We start from the raw sequence: 16,647 nt of genomic DNA, 5'->3' as shown, positions 1-16,647 counted from the left end.
AATGTTTTGTGTCTGGAAAGTAGCTGGGCTGGTAATGTTGTTGGTTTGGAGAAACTGTGGTGCGTTGGTTGAACGAGGCCTGTGCATTCTTTGGTTCTGTAGCAAGGCCTTGAGAGGAGAGTTAAATTAAAGCAATATGAGGGCTGAAAGCCATCTGGATGTGACCCAGTAAGGTGCCAGCAGCAAGACCCCAAATACAGGTACTGCTTTGTTGGGTTGAAGACCTATGGCATCTTTTGTTTGTTTGTTTGTGTTTGAGATAGGCTCTCGCTCTGTCACCCAGGCTGGAGTGCAGTGGCGCAGTCTTGGCTCACTGTAACTTCCGCCTCCTTGGTTCAGGAGACTCTCTCACCTCAACCTTCCAAGTAGCTTGGACTATAGGCGCATGCCACCATGCCCAGCTAATTTTTGAATTTTTTTGTAGTGACGGGGGTCTCACCATGTTGCCCAGGCTGATCCTGAACTCCTGAGTTCAAGTGACCTGCCTTCCTTAGCCTCCCACAATGCTGGGATTACAGTCGTGAGCCACCGTGCCCGGCAACCCCATGGCTTGAAGCATTTTGGTTAGCCGTCTCATGTGATCTTTTTGTGTTATGTATCAGATAAGCTAGGTGTCAACTCATTTTGTGCAGAGAGATCTCAAGTAATGAATAACTGTGCTGAGCTATGGGTAGAAGAGCTGGAGCTTGAGTCCCTGTCTTCTAGGGGAGCACCCAGTGCCATTTCTGTAACCTCATACTGAAACCTTCCAGCAGCCCTGCCTCTCTCTCTTGGTAGCATGGTTTCTGTAGATGCATTTACCATTCAACGGAGCAATAAGTCTGGCCCTGTTCTAGGTGCTGAGGATTCCACAGCAAGTAAAATCCATTTCTGCCTCCCATAATACAAATGATATAAATATGATGTAAATACTAGTCAAAGCACTGAAATAACTTGTTTTGGTGTTCTAGAGAAAGTATATAAAAATTAGAGACATTTGTACAGGTCTCGCTTGTGAACTGCTTTCTAGATGTTTTCTGAAACCTGTAACATTTGTGTGTGATGAAAATGAGAGCTGATATTCCTTTACTTGCAAATAATGGAAACTCCACAAAAACTAGTGCAAACTGAAAAGAGGACCTTCTTGCATATGTAATAAGGAGGGTCAAGAATGAAGATGGTGGTTGGGATAACGGATTCCAGGGAGTGAATGAGGTCAGGTGTGAGTCTACCTATTTGTCTGCATAGTTGTCTCTCCCTCCCTGTCTCTTTTAATTTGTGATATAATTCACACATCATGACATTCACCCATTTAAAGTATATAATTCAGTGGTTTTTAGTATCTTCACAAGATTGTACAACCATCATCACTATCTAATTTTATCACATTTTCCTACTCCAGAAAACCCCCCACAAAACTCCGTACCTGTTAGCAGCCACTCTCCATTCTCCCCTCCTCCCAGCCCCGGGCAACCACCAGTGAGCTTTCTTTTCTCCTCTCCCCTCCGCCTGCCCCTCCTTCCTCCTTCCTCTCTCTCTCCTTCCTTCCTTCCTTCCTTCCTTCCTTCCTTCCTTCCTTCCTTCCTTCCTTCCTTCCTTTTCTCTTCTCCTTTTCTCTCTCTTTCAAGACGGAGTCTCACTCTGTCATCCAGGCTGGAGTGCAATGGCACAATCTTGACTTCCTGCAACCTCTGCCTCCTGAGTTCAAGAGTTCAAGCAATTCTCCTGCCTCAGCCTCAAGTAGCTGGGATTACAGGCACCTGCTACCGCGCCTGGCTAATTTTCTAATGTTATGTTTTAGTGGAGACTGGGTTTCACCACGTTAGTCAGGCCGGTCTCTAACACCTGACCTCATGTGATCCGCCTGTATCGGCCTCCCAAAGTACTGGGATTACAGATGTGAGCCACCGTGCCTGACCAACTTTCTGTCTCTATGGATTTAACTTCTTCATATAAATGGAGTCATACAACATGTGGTCCTTTGTGACTGCCTTCTTCTACTTAGCATAGTGTTTTCTAGGCTCATCCATGTTATAGCATGTATCAGTTCTCTGTTCATTTTTATTTTATTTTATTTTTTGAGACAGAGTCTTGCTCTGCCGCCCAGGCTGGAATGCAGTGGCATGATCTTGGCTCCCTGCAACCTCTGCTTCTCGGGTTCAAGTGATTCTCCTGTCTCAGCCTCCAGAGTAGCTGGGGTTACAGGCATGTGCCACCACACCTGGCTAATTTTTGTATTTTTAGTGGAGATAGGGTTTCTCCGTGTTGGCCAGGCTGGTCTCGAACTCCTGACCTCAGGTGATCTGCCTGCCCCGGCCTCCCAAAGTTCTGGGATTACAAGCGTGAGCCACCACGTCAACCTTATAGTTGAATAATATTCCATTGTATGAATAGACCACATTAAAAAAAAATCCATTCACTAGTTGATGAACATGAGGGTTGTTTCTGCTTTCAGGCTATTGCACATAATGCTGCTATGAACATTTGTGTACAAGTTTTCGTGTGGACATATGTTTTCACGTCTCTGGGGTATTTACCTAGCAGTGGAATTTCTGGGTCATATGGTTAACTCTATATTTTACTTTTTGAGGAACTGCCAAACTGTTTTCCACAGCAGCTGCATCATTTCACATTCTTAGCAGCAGTGCACGAGGGTTCTAGTTTCTCCACATTCTTGCCAACACATTATGTGTCATTTTGATTGGACTAGGTTATCTTTTATGTACCTTTTAATCCAGGAAGTATGATTTTGTGAAAAAAAATTTGTTTTCGATATGTGATAGAAATCTGCAAAGGAATTAATTAATATGTATGAAACAGAAATGACAAATGGCTGTTTTAAGTTTATTTTCTTCCCACTGTGTTCTTGGGTCGTTCATTTTTATGAAGTAACAACAAACTCCTGTTCTGAGCATACTTGTGTATTTTTTCTGAAAACAGATGGTAGCCAGAACACAACTGGGATTCCATTAAGAAAATCTTATCAGTTTGTTTATTTGTAGGCATTTCTCTCCCCCTCTCCCCACAAAAATGATTCTTATCAAGAGGAGGAAAGGACAATAAACTGGGAAATGGGAGGTAAGGATGTCTGGTATCAGATTTCACGCAGAGTGCAAACATCTTGTGCTGGTCTTTTATTGCCCTTTCTGTCCTGTACCTCCTACTGCTTCCACCAAGAGGAGTGGAATGCAGTTCTTAAACCAGCTGTTTTGTTTTGTGTGCTTTAAAAACAGGATTTCCCACTAGTTTTTGAGAGTTCTTAGTGGGACAGTTTTATACATTTTATAAAATCTGTGTCTCCTAGCTCCATTTACTTACTTGTCTTTCTTGGCTTGTTCTGCTGTTTTCTTTCTTTCTTTCCTTCCTTTCCTTCCTTTCGTCCGCCCTTCCTTCCTTCCTTCCTTCCTTCCTTCCTTCCTTCCTTCCTTCCTTCCTTCCTTCTTTCTTTTCTTCCCTTCCCCTTCCTTCTTTCCTTTCCTTTCCTTCCTTCTTTCTGTCAGTCTTTCTGTCTTTCTTGATGGAGTCTTGCTGTGTTGCCCAGGCTGGAGTATAGTGGCGTGATCTCGGCTCACCGCAACCTCCGCCTCCTGGGTTCAAGCAATTCTCCTGCCTCAGCCTCCCGACTGCCTGGGATTACAGGCACCCACCACCATGCTTAGCTAATTTTTGTATTTTTAATAGAGATGGGGTTTCACCATGTTGGCCAGGCTGATTTTTTTTTTTTTTTTTTAAATTTTTTTAAATTTTGAGGCAGGGTCTTGCCCTGTCACCCAGGCTGGAGTGCAGAGGCACAATCACACCTCACTGCAACCTCCGCCTCTTGGGCTTAAGCCATCCTCCCACCTCAGCCTGCTGAGTAGTTGGGACTACAGGCATGTGCCACCATGCCCAGCTAATTTTTATGTTTTTTGCAGAAACAGGGTTTTGCCATATTGCCCAGGCTAGTCTCAAACTTCTGAGCTCAAACGATCCTCCCACCTCAGCCTCTCAAAAGTGCTGGGATTCCAGGCATGAGTCACCATTGCCTGGCCTGGCCTATTGTTTATATTATGTAATTATTCCCTATGGAACAGAGAGAACAGATAGGAAGGGCATTAGAGTGGGCATAGTTTACCTCTGTGCTTTTTAGAGCCAGAACTATTTTATTTAATTCAAATTTTACTTTTTTTTTTTAAGAGATGGGGGTCTTGGCTTATCTTGTTCAGGCTGGAGTGCAGTAGCACGATCAGAGCTCACTGTATCCTCGAACATCTGGGCTCAAGGGATCCTCCTGCCTTAGCCTCCCAACTATGGGAGTATCTCTGGCTATTTTTTTTTTCCTTTTGAGACGGAGTCTCGCTCTTGTTGTTCAGGCTGGAGTGCAGTGGCGCAATTTCGGCTCACCACAACCTCTCCCTCCTGGGTTCAAGTAGTTCTCCTGCCTCAGCCTCCTGAGTAGCTGGGATTACAGGCATGCACCACCACACCCAGCTAATTTTGTATTTTTAGTAGAGATGGGGTTTCTCCATGTTTGTCAGGCTGGTCTTGAGTAATTTTTTAATTAAAAAAAATGTTGTAGAGATGAAGTCTCACCATCTTGCCTAGGGTGGTCTTGAACTCTGAGGCTCAAGTAATCCTCCCACCTTGGACTCCCAAAGTGTTGAGATTACAGGTGTGAGTCACTATGCCCAGCCTAGAGCTAGAATTATTTTACATGCCGTCCACTCTTTCCTAGTGCCTGGTATATGATTGGGGAGGGGGTGTTAGGAGATATTTGGTGGAAGGATGGACTTGTGGAAGTATGAGGGATGGAAGAATGGGTGAGTGGGTGGAACGATTTACAGATGGATGAATTATTTTAGGCATGTTGGCTGATTCTTTAGGTCCACTTTCTAATAAACATATATGTGTTGGCTACATAATGATGGTTAACTAATAGATGGAAAAATTTGACTTTTATTTGTTGTATCGTCACATTCCTACAATGTTTGAGGTACTCTCAGCAATTTGGAGATGTCTCATTTCTTTTAGTGTTAAAAATTGTTTCTGGGACTATTTCTGGTCACTGTAGTTTAAAAGATTAACTGAAAAGGTGTTTTAAGGAATTGTGAGGAAGGTGGGGGAAATCAGATTATAAAACTCAGGACTGAGGCCAGACATGGTGGCTCACGTCTGTAATCCCAGCACTTTGGGAGGCTGAGGTGGGTGGATCACCTGAGGTCAGTCGTTTGATACCAGCCTGGCCAACATGGTGAAACCCAGTCTCTACTAAAAATACAAAAATTAGCCCAGTGTGGTGGTGCGCACCTGTAGCCCCAGCTACTTGGGAGGCTGAGGTAGGAGAATCACTTGAACCCAGAAGGCAGAGATTTCAGTAAGCCGAGATCATGCCACTGCATTCCAGCCTGGGCGGCGGAGCTAGACTCCATCTAAAAATAATAATAATAATAAAACTCAGGACTCAATCAGTTGGCAAGTTGGAACCCATAACTATGGGAATAAACTCTTTACAGAATCACACATTTATAATTGAGGCATCCTGCCATTTAGCATAGTTCATTTTGGTTTTGATTTTGATTGGAAGTGTGGGATGGCGGTGAATCTTTGTATCTTTTCCTTTGGAACATTGACCAAAGATTAGTGTATTGTTGGTGATACCTTTTACCGCTTTCTTTTCCTCTCCACCTCTTACTATCGTAAACTTTTCATGTTATCCTCTGGATGAAAGCTGCTATTCCTAGTGGTGACAGAGTTTGACACTGTGGGCAGGATAAGGGGAAGGAATGTGGGTGCTATTCGATCCTTCCCATCCGGTGCACTAGAGAGCTGGGAAGGACCAAAAACATGGGACAAATTGGTCTGTGAACTTTATGGTAATGAGCACAGGCAGGCCTCAGTTTACAACCCTACTGTGTTTTTTTTAGGTGTGTTTATTAGTATTTGGAACACTGTGGTCTTCAGTGGCAATAGTGTTTTTTTGTTTTTGCTTTGTTTTTTTTTTTTTTTTTGGAGATGGAGTCTCGCTCTGGCACCCATGCTGGAGTGCAGTGGCACGATCTTGGCTCACTGGAACCTCTGCCTCCCTGGTTCAAGCGATTCTCATGCTTCAGACTCCCAAGTAGCTGAGATTACAAGCCCGTGCCACCACATCCAGCTAATTTTGGTATTTTTAGTAGAGGCGGGGTTTCACCATGTTGACCAGGATGGTGTCAAACTCCTGATCTCAAGTGATCCGCCTTCCTCAGCCTCCCAGAGTGCTGGGATTACAGTCAGGAGCCACTGTGCCCAGCCGCAGTAGTGTTACAAATGATCTTTTAGCCCATAGGCAAGCTTGAGAAATGATGATGACGATGATGATGTAGCTGAAAGCTATAAATAGCTGAAATATATTCCTTCAAAAAATGTAGAGCATTTCAGCAATAGGCCAGTCTGGGGAGTTACCCAACACTTCTGGCAGCGCCTTTGAGAAGAAATTATGTCGGAATTCTGAAGCACAATGTCAGGAACACATTTTCCCCTGGGATTAGCTCTCTGATGGGCACGGGACAGTTGTTCTTGCGGTTGCCTATATAGAGAACAAACGTCTATAATTGTTCTCCAGCCCAAAGAAAAATATTACAAACTCGGGACTCTCAAACCACACATTTCCAACTTTATCAACTATGTGCTCACCAAGTTTCTCTCTTGAGACTCACTTTATTACTTTTCCTTCCTCTGTAGTTGGTCAGGGTGGAGCTTTGACTTGCCATCTCCTTCAGCTCCGCATCCTTTGACCTGAGCCTAAAAACCGCCTGTGTTCCTTTCAGGGCCTACATGGCCGTGGCTGAACTGAAGCTTTCCTCTGTAGAATTGGATGCAGTTCTTCAGAAATGATTGCCAGCTTCGGGTTTAAAACCCTGTAGTCTCAAGACAAGGAATTGAGTCAGAGGGACTCATTTAGCTGTCGTGGGTGCCCTACTCTGTTTGAGTACTCTATGGCAAGGACCTATGAAGGCCACCGACTGCTATGGGGGATGCCTGGGTGTCCAGGGATGCTTGGGGACTGGCTGCTACCACTTCAGGTCCCCTGCTGAGGGTGGCTGTCTCTGCAGGGGAGAAGTCTTAGATTTCACCTTCCCCTTCATTTCTGAATCTTAGGGTTGTGCCCCAGCTCACAGTGCTCCCTCATCCTTGTGGCTCGCGTTAGCGCTGCATTTGTCATACTCATTTTATACCTGTGATGATGCCACCACCCCCCAACCCCCGCCGTTTTTTTTTGTTGTTTTTGTTGAGACAGAGTCTTGCCCTGTTGCCTGGGCTGGAGTGCAGTGGTATGATCTTGGCTCACTGCAACCTCTGTCCTCCGGGTTCAAGTGATTCTCCTGCCCAGCCTCCCAAGTAGCTGGGATTACAGGCACCCACCACTGCGCCCAGCTAATTTTTTGCATTTTTAGTAGAGACGGAGTTTCATCATGTTGGCCAGGCTGGTCTTGAACTCCTGACCTCAGGTGATCCGCCTGCCTTGGCCTCCCAAAGTGCAGGGATTACAGGCATGAGCCACTGTGCCCGGCCGATGAGCACCTTGCTTTGCTCTTCTCTCCATTCTTATCTGCACATGGCTAAGTTTTCTGACAAGCTTTGCACTGGGGTTTGCAAGCATTTGGGAGTTGAGACAGCATCTGAGGTTAAAGAGCACAGTGGACAGGCTGTGTCTGCATGGTTCCAATAATCTGCATTAAAAGTCGGCTCTCCCTTAAAAAAAAAAAAAAGCAGAGTGGACAGAGAGGAGGAAGAGTGTTCTTCTAGCACCACTGCCCACCTGTCGGCCTCTGCTCCTCTTTTCCTTATGTTTGTCAAAGGATTTGAATTAGACTGCAGAGGCTGCTTTCTCTATTCTCTGTGTACCCGGTTTTAATGATACCAGAAATTAGGTCTGCCCCAGCGATACTTTATCTGTTGGGATTTTTGAAGTTCATGGGATTTAGACAACAGAGTCTGCTTTCAATTAACTAGGTCACTGACAGTGAATGGTTTTGTAAACACCTTCAGTTTGGCCATGGCTCTAGAACACTGTATTACTCTAGAATAGTGATTCTCAACTAGAATGATCCTGCAGTCCCCAACAAAGAATCATCTAGTCCACAATGTCAATAGCACCGAGGTGGAGAAACTTGTATTACAACTTCATGTTATAAAAGCCACGTGTGCTTTGATGTGTCTTTGAGTAATAAGAATCAGAAAAAAAAAGCATCTGGTAAGTTGGAAAGATAACTCCTACTTCCAACAGAAGGAAAAAAAAAAAAAGACGAAAACAGGAGAAAAAGTGCTGCTTAAGTCCTTGGTGCTCACAACCCGTTTCTGCAGTTCATCAAGAACCAATATCCCCACTCCCTAGGCCCTACATTAGAGATCTCCTAAACCAGGTGACTTCTTCACTGAGTCATTGCAGGCAAAAAGAGGAAAACTTTCTTTTGGCTGTTGAATTTACTGCAGATTTAAATAGCCATATTAATTTATCTTATGCATTACAAAGTTATTTGACCTCTGTGTCTTTTTATTTTTTATTTTTATTTTTTGGAGACAGAGTCTCCCAGGCTGGAGTGAGGTGGTGCAATCATGGCTCACAGTACCCTTTACTTCCCAGCCTCAGGTGATCCTCCCACCTCAGCCTCCCAAGTAGCTGAGACCACAGGCATGCACCACCACGCCTGGCTTATTTTTTGCATTTTTAAAATAAGAGACAGGGTCTCTCCAGGATGCCCAGGCTGGTCTCAAACTTTTGGGCTCGGGTAATCCGCCTGCCTCGGTCTCCCAGAGTGCTGGGATTACAGGCATGAGGCACTGTGCCAGCCCTCTGCATCTTTAAAAAGGAAAAAGCAGATCACATTTCAAGAGCAAATTTTGAGTTTGTCATGTAGGTGGCCAGAGAATCCTGAACTGAGGTACTTAACATAGGCGAGAGAAACAGCTGTGGGAGATGAGCAGGCACAGTGCCCTGTTCCGGGGCTGAGACTAAGTTGTATGTTTGGCTAAAGAATGTTCTCTTTTTCGTGAACCTGTAATTAGAACATGCTGTACAGAATGGTATTTAAAGTCCACTGTCATCTCTTTTTAGGGTTGTTTCTCTAACTTATTTTTAAACTTATTTTTTCAATCAGAGTTCAGGAAAGAAAATCATTTTTGAAATCAGAAGAGAAATGTAATAGTTTTTAAAAGGGCAACAGGAGGTTAAAATTTGTGATGGTGATACTATCCTCTTTATCTTAAAGCAGAGGTCAGCAACTTTGTGTGTCAATATTTTAGGCCTTGTGCAGCAGCTTCACTTTGCCATTGGAGTGGGAAGGAGTCATAGATAATAGGTGATGAATGGGCCAGATGGGGAGGTATCACCAAGCAGGAGGCCGTTGGCCAGGGTTTTATGATTTTCTTCCAGGGAAGGGGATAATTGTCCACAATGACACCATGGTACAATCCATCACAACCTCATCCTTAGATTAGCTTGGGCAAGTCTCCTGCGTGGTCTGTTAGCCCCTCTAGTCTATGTTACTGGAGAGCAGAGACTTAATGAATTCAACATGGCCCTTGAATTTCATCATTATGGGGTTGTGGTGGTTTTGATATGTTTCTCAACACCTCTGTTGCTCAGTTACAGAAATGTGATTGGGCTTTCCTACTCTGGAATGGTTAAGAATGTTCATGTGCATTTGAGAAATACGTAGGCTGGGAAAACAATTTTTTAAAAATGATGGCCGGGCGCGGTGGCTCACACCTGTAATCCCAGCACTTTGGGAGGCCGAGGCGGGTGGATCACAAGGTCAGGAGATCAAGACCATCCTGGCTAACACGGTGAAACCTCGTCTCTACTAAAAATACAAAAAATTAGCCAGGCGTGGTGGTGGGCACCTGTAGTCCCAGCTACTCAGGAGGCTGAGGCAGGAGAATGGCGTGAACCTGGGAGGCAGAGCTTGCAGTGAGCCGAGATTGCACTACTGCATTCCAGCCTGGGTGACAGAGTGAGACTCCGTCTCAAAAAAAAAATAAATAAATAAAAATGATTTGATATTATTGAGTTATAATTCCATAGAGAGAAATTCACCCATTATAGGTGCCCAGTAGAATGATTTTCAGCACATGTATATAATTGTGCAGCCATCACCACAGGGCAGTGTTAGGACAGATTTCCACCTTTTTCACTCAGTCACTGTCCCTCCCGCACCCAGCTCTGGGTAGCCATTCATCTATTGTCTGTGTCTATGGATTTGCCTTTTCCAGAAACTTCATATAAACGGAACCACACAATATGTAGCCTTTTGTATCTGGCTTCTTTCACTTACCATGATGTGTATGGTCCATCTTTGTTGGTGAATGTATCAGTGATTTTTTTTTTTAATTTAAATAACTGAGGAGTCTCATTGTATGGATTTATTCTGAGTATCTCTATACCAGTTACTAGACCTTTGAATTGTTTCCAGTATTTTTGCTGGTAAGAATATTGCTGCTATGAATATTTGCACACAAGACTTAAAAAAATTTTTTTTTGAGTAAACAACTAGGAGTTAAATTGTTGGGACATATATGATAAGATTATGTTTAGCTTTTTAAGAAATTGCCAAACCATTTTCCAAAGCAGATGTACCATTTTACATTCTCAGTTTCTCTACATCCTCACCAACATTTGATAAAGTCAGCCCCTTTTATTATATCCAGGAAATCATTGTTGGCAGTAGAAAATGGAACCTCTGTGAACCTTACGTTTGAAGAAAGGGACGGTATTGCCTCTCTGTCTTATAGGATTGCTTTAAAGTTCAAAGGGGGATAGGAATTTATGCATAAGTGCTTTATATTGCAGAAACATTTCTGGTGATTATGTACAGAAAAATTTTTAGCCATTATATTAACACTCACATATTTGTCTCAGAAATTAAGATGCAAACTTGTCCACGTTTTAATAAAATGTGTATGTTATGATCAAACTTGTTCCACCTGCTTATAAAGGCAATTTTTTAATCAAATTGTGAGCCTTTTCCATATGCTAGGTTGCCTATATAATGTATTAAATTATCAGCCTTATTTAACAATGACTGAATGTAATAGTTTGCATACGGTGGGCAAATTTTTCTTTCCCACTCCAACTTAGATGGTCTGGTAAATGTCTGCCTGTGACTTTGTTTTCAAATGCTTGTGGGTGGCCTCTTTCGGACCTGGGCACATGTGTTCTAATAGAGTGGAAGTAGAAAGATTGGGGTCTCAGAGAAAGCACCAGGAACAATCTATGTAAAAAATACCTATTTCAGCAGTTTAACTTTGCAATTCCGATTCTATGAAAATTGCCAGTTAATACTTTTTCAAAGAACAAAGGGGGTGTTTTGAATGCATTTCCCTTCCCACCTGTGGAAGACAGCTGTTTGTGATAGACCTAGGAAAACTGGCCAATGGGCTGTGGATTTGAAATCTGGGCTGGATTTTGTAAAAGTTGCTTATCAGCAGTTCTTCACACCTGTTGGAGAAGACCTTTGGACTGCAGGAGCTGAACTGTGTATTTGATCATAAAGCACTGTGTCAACAAAGGGCTTTTGTAGTACTTTCAAACGAAAGGGTAAAGAGACCCACAGTGAGATGCTAAGTCAAAGAAACTGCACGCTGGAGTGAAAAAATATGTTCTGGATGGCCTGTGGAAGCCAAAAGGGTACATATTAATCCTGCTGACAGTTTATATTAATTTGATAATGTTGCATAATCTCAATTTCATTCTTACTAAATAGACAATTTTGATTGGGAAACAGGTGTGTGAAATCCTTTTTAATGAAAACAATGCTAGTGATGGTCACAATACACAGAAAGCTTTGGACTAGGGGTTCTGGGTTGGAGTTACACTGGGAGTTATTGTTTCCTGATTTTAACCTAATGAGTAAAAGTTCTTGCCTTATATCACTTTGAACATTTTCATTGCTGCGAGCATGGGCGTGTATGTGTGTTGGGAGGTGTATATTTAAAAGCTTTCAAATATTGCAGTCCCTGACATGTGAATTAAAGAGAGGCCGAAAAAAGTCATCAGGCACTTGAAATCTTTTTCTAGAATGTTACAAATAATGTGGCTTGGGTATGGAGTGATATTTGAGAGACCAGCGTCGTAGCAGATGCCTGAAGTCAGTGTTCTTTTTGGAAGCAGCTGTTTGCTAATAAAGAAATCAGGACTGACAGGCAGTTGTTAAGTCTCATTCTTCATGTGTGTTATCAGTGTCTCAGGCTGAAGCAAGAGTAGGGGGTGAGGGACTTGTGTGCAAATAGGTACTGGCCCCTGTTGGTGCTGTGTGTTCTTTACATAGGCAGGCCTCAGGATTTATATAGGAGCACTTAATATTCATTTTTGATGCTATTTTCCATCTTTATAGCAGAGGATTTAAACTCCTGTTTGGAGCATCTTTGAAGATCTATGAATGGAGTAAACAACTTAGAATCTCCATAGCATGTACCAGGGAAATGAGTGCCTATGGGGAGGGCCTCTTATAGATAAGGTCACAATAGGGGATACTAGGAGAGTCGTATAACTCTCCGGGGAACTCTGTGAGTTGGTCAGTGGGGAAAGGAGTCTGTTCCACCTCAATATTGGGATCTCCAGCCACTGTGATTTTAGAAATGTTTGTAGAACCTCCTTCTGGGGATTCCTGTTGGCCCGCCCCAGATTCATTCATCAAACAAAGAGTGACAACTATGGATCCCGAGTAACAGTTAACATTTGAGGTCCTGGCTTGTGGATTTTATTTACTTATTTATTTATTTTTTGAGATAGAGTTTACTCTGTCACCCAGGCTGGAGCGTAGTGGCACGATCTCAATTCAGTGTAACCTCTGCCTCCTGGTTTCAAGCAATTCTCCTGCCTCAGCCTCCTGAGAAGCTGGGATTACAGGCATGCGCCACCATGTCTGGCTAAGTTTTGTACTTTTTTGGTAGACACGCGGTTTTACCACGTTGGCCAGGCTGGTCTCAAACTCCTGACCTCAAGTGATCTACCCATCTCGGCCTTCGAAAGTGCTGGGATTATAGGCGTGAGCCACCACGTCCGGCCTCTGGCTCGTGGATTTTAAACAGTGTTATCATGGGCACTGAGGGAATGGAGTAACCTTTACGTCAGATTTTGTGTCGTCTTAAATGTTCCTTCCTAGGAAGATGAGAGAGAACAAATAGTTACGTGTGATAACAGGCCATTTAAGGTGACTCTGTGTTGTTAGATTTTAATTGCTGGCTGATTTATGAGTGCCTTTGATTTATTTATGAATTATTTTCAGGAGACAAGTGGAGTCAGTGTGATGTGTGGGAAGAGCATGGGGTTAGGAATTTGGAGAGACCTGCCTAGGTCACTAGCTGTGTGGCACTGGGCAAAGTCTTAAGCTCCAAGCTGCAATTTCCTCTTGGAATTGAGAGGATTCCTAGTTTACAGAAGGTTAGTATTCAATATAATGTCATTGAGACTTCTTAGCACATGACCCTGATATATCTGGGGCACTCCTTTACTGGAGGTGACTATGTTTGCTATTGATTGGCACCATTTAAAGTAGCGTAAAATGAGGAGTTTACTGGTGTGTCATTTATCCCCTGCCAACTCTGTGTTTAAAGAGCAGTACTACCTCCTTGAACTAGAAGTGGAACATACCATAACCAGCATATTTCAAATATTTAACAAAACAGAAATAAATGAAATGAGGTAGAAAATTCTAGAAAAGGAGTTGTTCAGTTAAAGTGCTATTTTAGGAAGGGAGGGAGGGAGAAAAAAATCAAGTGCTATGTCAAGTGATAATTTTGTTCTATTTCCACTTGAATACATTGATTCATAAGGATGTGCTTGGTGTCATTTTTGTTGGAATTGAAATTGTTGAGCAGAGTAGAAAAAGTTTAATGAGATACTGAAGCTCAGTGTTGCATTCCATCATATGGGTAAACGTCATAAAAGTAATTCTTTTTTTTTCTTTTTTTTTTTTAAATTTCATTAGTTTTTGGGGGGACAGGTGGTGTTTAGTTACATGGATATGTTATTCAGTGGTGATTTCTGAGATTCTGGCGCACCCATCACCCGAACAGTGTCCACTGTACCTGTTGTGTAGTCTTTTATCCTTCGCCACCCTCCCACCCTTCTCCCTGAGTCCCCAAAGTCCATCATGTCATTCTTATGCCTTTGCATCCTCATAGCTTAGCTCCCACTTATAAGCGAGAACGTATGTTGTTTGGTTTTCCATTCTTGAGTGACTTCACTAGAATCATGGTCTCCAGCTCCATCCACGTTGTTGTGAATGCCATTATTTCATTCCTTTTTATGGCTGAGTAGTATTCATGAAGGTAATTCTTTGACCAGTGAACACCCAGTAATTCCTCCAAACTTTATCACTTGTGTTTGAAAAAGTTTCATGTGATTAAATCAAAGGAAGATGAAATTGAGCCTTGAAAAAGCTCAATATGATATTTCATTTGTCCAGTGGGGAAATAAATAAGTGGAAATGAGATCAATGCCAAAAAATGTGCCCAAGATTTAAAACGTGGGATCTGGAAGTTGCCATCTTTTAAGATACAATCCTGAACTTTGAAGTTCATTAGGTGTCTCATGTAATCCTAACAAAATTTGTGCTGGTGGACTGAGTTCTGATAAATATTAGAAACTTCAGTTCCTCTTTTGGAGAGTCCAGTTTACACATGGATTTTGGTATAAGTAGGAGTCAAGGGAGTGGTCTAATGTCCTCCAAGTGGGCAAGTGTACCGGACTTTGACCTAAGAGAATGGGAGCCATTAGTTTCTGAAGAGTTCTCAAAGAGGGTGAAGGCTTGTTGAGACCTAGTTAAACTTCTGGTTTCTGGAGCCCAACTGCCTGTCATGCACTCGCTCAGTCTTTGTGATGCTGGGCAAGTTAGTTTACCTCTAGGCCTCTGGTTCTCCATCTGTAAAATGGGAATGGTCATAGTGCCTGCTTCATCATCTCAAATGACGTAATCCACCTAAATCAGTTGCATGGTGAGAACACAGGGGCTAGCTACTATTTTCTTAGTCCCTCTTTGCCTTCTATGTCTGATGGGACTCTCAGTCACACTTGTGGATAGTAAAGCCTGTGGATGATGCTTTGCGAAGATTTGTTCTTTGCTTGAGAAAGACATTTACTTTTCAAGAAGATTTTTTTTAAAGGAATATAGGAGTTAGGGTAATTTCGACAGTACAGTTTCGCCACAAAATGCAATCCAAACTCAGTTCAGTCTTGTTTGTTTTGTTTACAGGGAACACGGGTCTGGCTGAGAGAAAATGGCCAGCATTTTCCAAGTACTGTAAATTCCTGTGCAGAAGGCATCGTCGTCTTCCGGACAGACTATGGTCAGGTGAGAACAAGTCCCTGCAGCTTCCCAACATCCATGGTCTGCTTTGTAGCTATTCGTGCCCAGGGCATGTGTGCTTGGCCCCCCTACACATACACACGCTTTACATTTTTTTCCTAAGTGATAATTCAAAATCCCAGTGGGAATGTAGAATGTAAACCATGTGTGTGTAATAGATACAATACAGTTCTCTCAAATGGAACACAGCAAATATTCCAACTAGTGTGGGGACAGAAGGGCATGGCACTGGCCTGGTTTCCCTCCTGGGTATCTTTTCTGCCTTCTTTCATCTTTTTCAGCTATCAGAAGTAGAGGATGCAAGTAATTTGAGCAAAAGTTCAAGTATATGATATTTGCTGACTGATTAACTTGTTACTTTCTCTTAAAATTCTTAAACTTTCGTAGTGTCTTAGTCAGTTTGGGCTGCCATGACAGAATACCATAGACTGAGTGATTTATGAAGAGCAAATATCGATGTCACAGTTCTGGAGCCTGGAGAGTCCAAGGCCATCAAGATGCTGGCAGTTGTGTGTCTTGTGAGGCCTCTGCTCACTGGTTCATAGCCAGCCAGCTTCTTGCTGGGCCTCACATTGTAGAAGGGGGAGTTCTCTTGGGCCTCTTTTATAAGGGCACTAATCCCATTCATGAAGGCTGCACCTTCATGACCAAGTCACCTGCCAAAGACCCTAACAGCACTGCATGGGAGATTAGGAATTCAACATATTAATTTGGGGGGAGAATACAAACATTCAGTTCAGGCTGGGCACAGTGGCTCACGCCGGTAATCCCAGCACTTTGGGAGGCCGAGTCGGACAGATCACTTGAGGTCCTTAGTTCAAGACCAGCCTGGCCAACATGGTGAAACCCCGTCTCTACTAAAAATACAAAAATTAACCAGCTGTGGTGGCAGGCACCTGTAATCCCAGCTAATTGGGGGGCTGAGGCAGAAGAATTGCTTCAACCTGCGAGGCGGAGGTTGCAGTGAGCCGAGATTGCACCACTGCACTCAGGTCTGGGTGACAGAGCAAGACTCCTTCTCAGAAAACAAACCAGTTAATCACAAATAGAGTGTTGAAAATACTAGGATCCCACTGAGAATTTAGGGTAATGTTGTCCTGATCACTGTAAGAAGAAGACTGACTAAATCACTGAAGCTGAGCCTATTTATCTACCTTGTTAAGCAACTGAAGAAGTTTCTCCTGTTTATAGGAGCACCACTGTTCCTGATTTTGTTTCTTTAGTGTAAAATGAATGAAAAGTCCTATCACTAAAATTAAATATGTAAATCCAAAAACTGGTTTGCTTGATTATATTCTGATGATTATAAGAGAAACCTGGCACGTCCATTTTACTAAGGAAA

At 42.9% G+C, this 16,647-nt stretch overlaps 1 protein-coding gene across 2 annotated transcripts in view; it reads left to right on the top strand.

Moving 5' to 3' along the window:
* Positions 1-16,647, top strand: part of MYO10 (myosin X) — a 274,382-nt gene that overhangs the window by 43,390 nt on the left and 214,345 nt on the right. For both annotated transcript variants that reach the window (XM_006714475.4, NM_012334.3), the window contains exon 2: positions 15,192-15,290. In XM_006714475.4, the coding sequence (XP_006714538.1) occupies positions 15,192-15,290 (99 nt within the window). The remainder of the gene's footprint in view (positions 1-15,191; positions 15,291-16,647) is intronic.

The sequence above is a fragment of the Homo sapiens genome, chromosome 5 (assembly GCF_000001405.40).
Source record: "Homo sapiens chromosome 5, GRCh38.p14 Primary Assembly".
NCBI classification, from domain to species: Eukaryota; Metazoa; Chordata; class Mammalia; order Primates; family Hominidae; genus Homo; species Homo sapiens.
The sequence above is the reverse complement of the archived record's forward strand: the minus strand, read 5'-3'. Positions and strand labels throughout refer to the sequence as shown.